The sequence below is a fragment of the Homo sapiens genome, chromosome 6 (assembly GCF_000001405.40).
Source record: "Homo sapiens chromosome 6, GRCh38.p14 Primary Assembly".
Taxonomy (NCBI): Eukaryota; Metazoa; Chordata; class Mammalia; order Primates; family Hominidae; genus Homo; species Homo sapiens.
In genome coordinates, this window is record NC_000006.12 from 112,500,653 (window position 1) to 112,505,357 (window position 4,705).

The 4,705-nt window shown below is 35.7% G+C and overlaps 1 annotated feature.

Moving 5' to 3' along the window:
* Positions 459-4,471: an enhancer, noted in NCBI's record as "VISTA enhancer hs1302". NCBI's record gives its function as "enhancer in: neural tube[4/4] | hindbrain (rhombencephalon)[4/4] | midbrain (mesencephalon)[4/4] | forebrain[4/4]" and the evidence as "EXISTENCE:transgenic organism evidence [ECO:0001131][PMID:17130149]".

The following is a 4,705-nucleotide window of genomic DNA, read 5'->3' on the forward strand; positions in this document are numbered from 1 at the left end:
TAAAGTAGTCAGTAGAGGAAGTTGAAAGATCATGAATTGCATATTTAGACAGGACTAGGCTTGAATACAAGCTTTTTCAGTGGTGTAAATTTGAGGAAATTACCTAGATGTCCAGAGATTCTCTTTTCTCATTTGTAAAATGGGGATAATAATGAAAGCATTTGCAGGTATTTGTGAGTGTTAAGTCAGATAATATGAGCATGCTGCTTGTTATATCGGAGATGATGAATGAAGATTCATTTCTTTCCTGTGCATTTACAAATTGTCTCTCCCAATTTTGAAAACGGTTTGTTTTATTCATTCAGTAGTCAACAAATATGTATTGAGCATCTGCTATATGTAGGTTTTGTGGTGGTTGCTGAGAAACTTCACACTATTATGTGGAAAAGGTAAACATAGCCACTACCTTCATAGAATTTATAGACTAGTATATATTATGAACCAGATTTTTAATTGTTAAAACCATCAGGCAATGGTGTAAGTTTAATTCTTGTGCAATCAAGCCCACATTTTGGGCATTTCTACTCAATGCTAATTTGCACTATAATCTGACCTCCAATGAAAGGGTTTTTCCTTAGTAGTAATATGTTGATTTCTAGAGCATTGAGGAGAGTTAGCTCTCCATCTGTCACCTCTTCTTGGTGTCACTTTGTTTTAATCTTCACATTGTCATTTATAATGGGATAAAATATTAATAATGATTTAATTTAAATGAGATAAGTAATGTTATCAGTTAGCTTTTATACAGTCTTATTCCTTACGTGTAATATTCTGCCTTGTGACACATGAAACACTGTTGTCGTGATTGTGAATAAAGTTTCACATTTAACACTATAAGAAACCACATCTATCTGCCTTTTAAGCTAAGAGAAGGACATAAAAGGTTTTTTTTCTCCCATATAAACTTGACTCTCAGGTATAAAGATATGGAAAATCCATGCAAAATTCTATTCTAGTCACCTCATGCTATTCTATTGTGAAGGCAGAGGACAATGTATGCAACAGGATGAATTCAATATTTTTATACATCCAAAATGGATATTGTAAGATAAATATATATTCCCAGGCAAAATGATCTTTAATCATTGCTTCAGTACATCACAAGAGGATCTCAGGTCTCTCACAATATATACTCTGATATAGATCATGTCACAGTTTTACACAAAACACTTATTCAGCATAAACTGGCCTTGCAGAAGCTACACTGCCCTTCCCCCTCCATTTCCACTTTCCGTGCTCCCTTCCTCCCTTGGGAAGATGCACGCTTGTTCCATTTGCACGCAGCACCAGCGTTGCCATGGAAACTCGCCTCCTTTTCTTCCCCCTCCCCAGTTACCAAGCTCAGCTTCTGGACTCAGTGCCAAGACCTCCTCTGTACAACCTCAATATTCTTTCAATGTTTAGACAAATCTGTTGGAAAATGTTGTTTACATTTTTTTCACAGTGCTATAGCTGCGTGTTTTGTGCAATACATTTCCCATGGATCCACCTATGTTCTAAGAGAGATTCCTTTTCCCCCTTCTTTTCAATAACTTTAAAAAATATTTTATTATTTGGTTTGATTTCTAATGGAGCATGAAAGGTAACTCAAGATCACAAAAATTCCATCCTGTGGTCAATTCCATCAAGTCCTGAATTTAATACTTTATGTGTCTGAGTTTTGTACTTTTACAGAGGATTTCTGTTTTGCAAAATTTGTAGCATGATGCCTGTTTTTTTAAAAACCCTAAACACTTATTAAATTAGTTTTCATACCTTAGAAGTTCATTAAAGTGCATATGTGGACCTTACGTTATTCCAGCAGTTATTATTCTGATGTTTAAATGATATGTTTGCGTCCTCCATTATTTGAAGTTACAGTGAGATGCCTTACATAGCAAATTTTATGCAGACTTGTAAAGTATTGTATGGAGTTGAATTAGTCATTCTAACACTCATGTGTGCTGGCACAAAAAGTTCTGTTGGTGAAATGACTGTCCCTTCCCCCACCTGTAAAATGTCAAATTTTCTTATAAATTTCTTAAACATTATAAAGTAGGCTTAGCAAAGTATTTATTTATTTAACTTTTTTATTATAAATAAATCATATAAGCCAGCCTGGCGTCTCACTATGCTGATGGCGTGTTTCTTCACTGTAAACATTTATATTTAAAAATGTAAAAAGACGACTTCTATTTGGAAAAAAACTACCTGTGATAAACAGAAGAGGGAGCAATATTTCTTCCTTTTCTTGGACACAGAATGTGGTGGTGGTGTTTTTCTAATTACCATTTCACCTTTTTTTTCTAAATGGAAACCTCCTCTGTTATAATCTCTGCTGTTGATTTTCTTTTCCTTTCTTTCAATTTTTTACGGGAGGAGGGGTGTCTAGTGATGGTAGTAGTAGGACCACCCATTTCGATCAAAGAAACAAAGGTTAAATTCTTTCTGGCTTGCTACTTTCTCTTAGGATATAGTTAAATATTAGAAACCTTTGTCTCCTACTGTATATTTTTACTTCCAACAATACTTAAAAAAAAAATTCTACCGCGACACTTTACAAAGAAGCTCTGGCATTGTGTAGTCAAATGGAGTGAATGAGTGCATTCTCCAGGGCCTGCCCTGTGAGAGACTCTGTCTCCCTGTTGTTCTCACTTTGAGCTAAGTAGGAGCCGTGCACATCTGAATAACAGTCTTTTCTGCCTAGTGCAATCCTGGATTGTTACAGTCTAGAGGCCAGCCATGCTGTCACCGGCACAAATTGATTTAACCATCAATTGCTGTGGTCATTAAAGCTGTTAAAAGTCCCCGCCAAACTGATGAATTGCAACTGAATGTGAAATGAGTCTCTGAGTCTGTTTCCCACCATCTCATATCAAAGGCTATTGTATCCCTGCAAAGTAAAGGGTCGGGGATTCAGGCTGGGGTTCAACAATGGGCTCTGTCAAAGGATAGAGCTCCATTCACTCTGGCACTCCCAATTACAGTTTGCTTTCCATACCTTATTGTATAAAATTTGCATCCAACTAATACATTGAATTATTGACATACTTTGGGTGTCAAAGGAGTCGTTGAATGGTTTGTTTTTAAAATACATGGAATTCTAAGCATCTGGTGGCTACTGGGTCGTGACAATGAAATAATTCCCTGGTTTTCCATTGTTTGCAAAAGAACTAATTTTCTCTCAGCTCAGATTTAACACTTTTAAACACTATGCACAACTCCTTCCATATTCACAGCCATTGCCCATTTCTGAATTTTTTAAAGGGAAGGGATAGAGGAATAATGGTACTATTCCTGCCTAACAAAAACGTAATAAAAATGATTAATATATAATATAATTTAAATTATTCACTATCATCTCTTTGGGGCCAAAATAACTGGGTAAAATGGAAACTACAATTTGATTTGATTATTTTTTACCTGAAGAAAAATGAAAAGTAAAAAAATGTGATATGAAACTAAAATCACATTTAGGCATAGGATTTTAATGCCCAGAAAAACTTTCATTAGTTTTTTTAGAGAAAATAATAGACTAGATTTTATGTTTTCATGGTTAAGCCAGTGAAAGGGCTATGAACCAATTTGACAATGAACACATATATGTTGCTAATAATGATTATTTAGTTAATAAGTAAGTATGGGGAGATGAATGATCATCAAAATTCTTCGAGCTCTGACACTGCAATATTAGCAGGGAACTTCAGAATATTTTGAGTTTTGTAGCAACATTAATATCCTCCTGTTGGTGATAAAATTTTTCTTTTTCCTATTAGACACTCATCTGAAGAGTACTTTAAGTCTTGAGTTAAATATATCAAACAATTCCATTTCTACACGCACTTGCATATGCAATTTGCACGAGTTCACCTGAGGATTTTAAAAGATGTTTATTTTAATATTTAAGGACTGCACAAGGAGTCTTCATTTCGAATTCCAGAGCTTTTAGTTGTCTTTTCTTTCTCTTTTTCTCTTCTTAAACTTCACGGTGGTGTGACTTCAGCCCCTAATGCTTTCCATGATGCATAGAGGAAACTCTCTGTAGGAGAAACACGACTTTGGAGATCAAAGGAAGAGAGCTCCATGTCTATTCCCAGCAACTCCACATGCCCTGCTTATTTTCTTTCCCTAGCTCATCTTACCATGAAGTGCTATCAACAGGGCTGAGAAGAACAGATGTGGAAACAAAATAAATCTGAGTTAATATTGTAATGGAGGTTACATGAATACAAATTATAGAGGAAAGTAAGCACAGCCAGCAACCACCAAAGTGTCATACTGAGGAGAGAGGAAGGAGGGAAGTTGTGCTTACAGATTCACTGTGTAGGTCAGGGGTCCGGGCCATTCACATGTATTAATAATGAGTTGGCAGACAGATCCAGGTTTGTATTTCCCTAGACCCTATTTACCATAGACGTCTCTGGTAACTGTGTATGAAAGTCCATCAGTAAGAACTGTTACATGTTACCCAAGGTTCCAAATGACCCTTGAAGAAGGTCAGTGGATTCTTGTCTTTAAAAGATCTATTGTTCAGAAAAAGGGGTGGAGGGAGCACAAGCTCTCTAGGTGGAGAAAAACCAAAAACCAAAAAAACTAACCTCAAACTGATATAAGCATTGCAAACCAGATGGAGCATCTATGTTTCATGACCCAAGAAACTATAGTACATTTTAGATGGAATTTAATATGAAAATCAATTCTTTTGATAATCCTCACTCAGAGGACA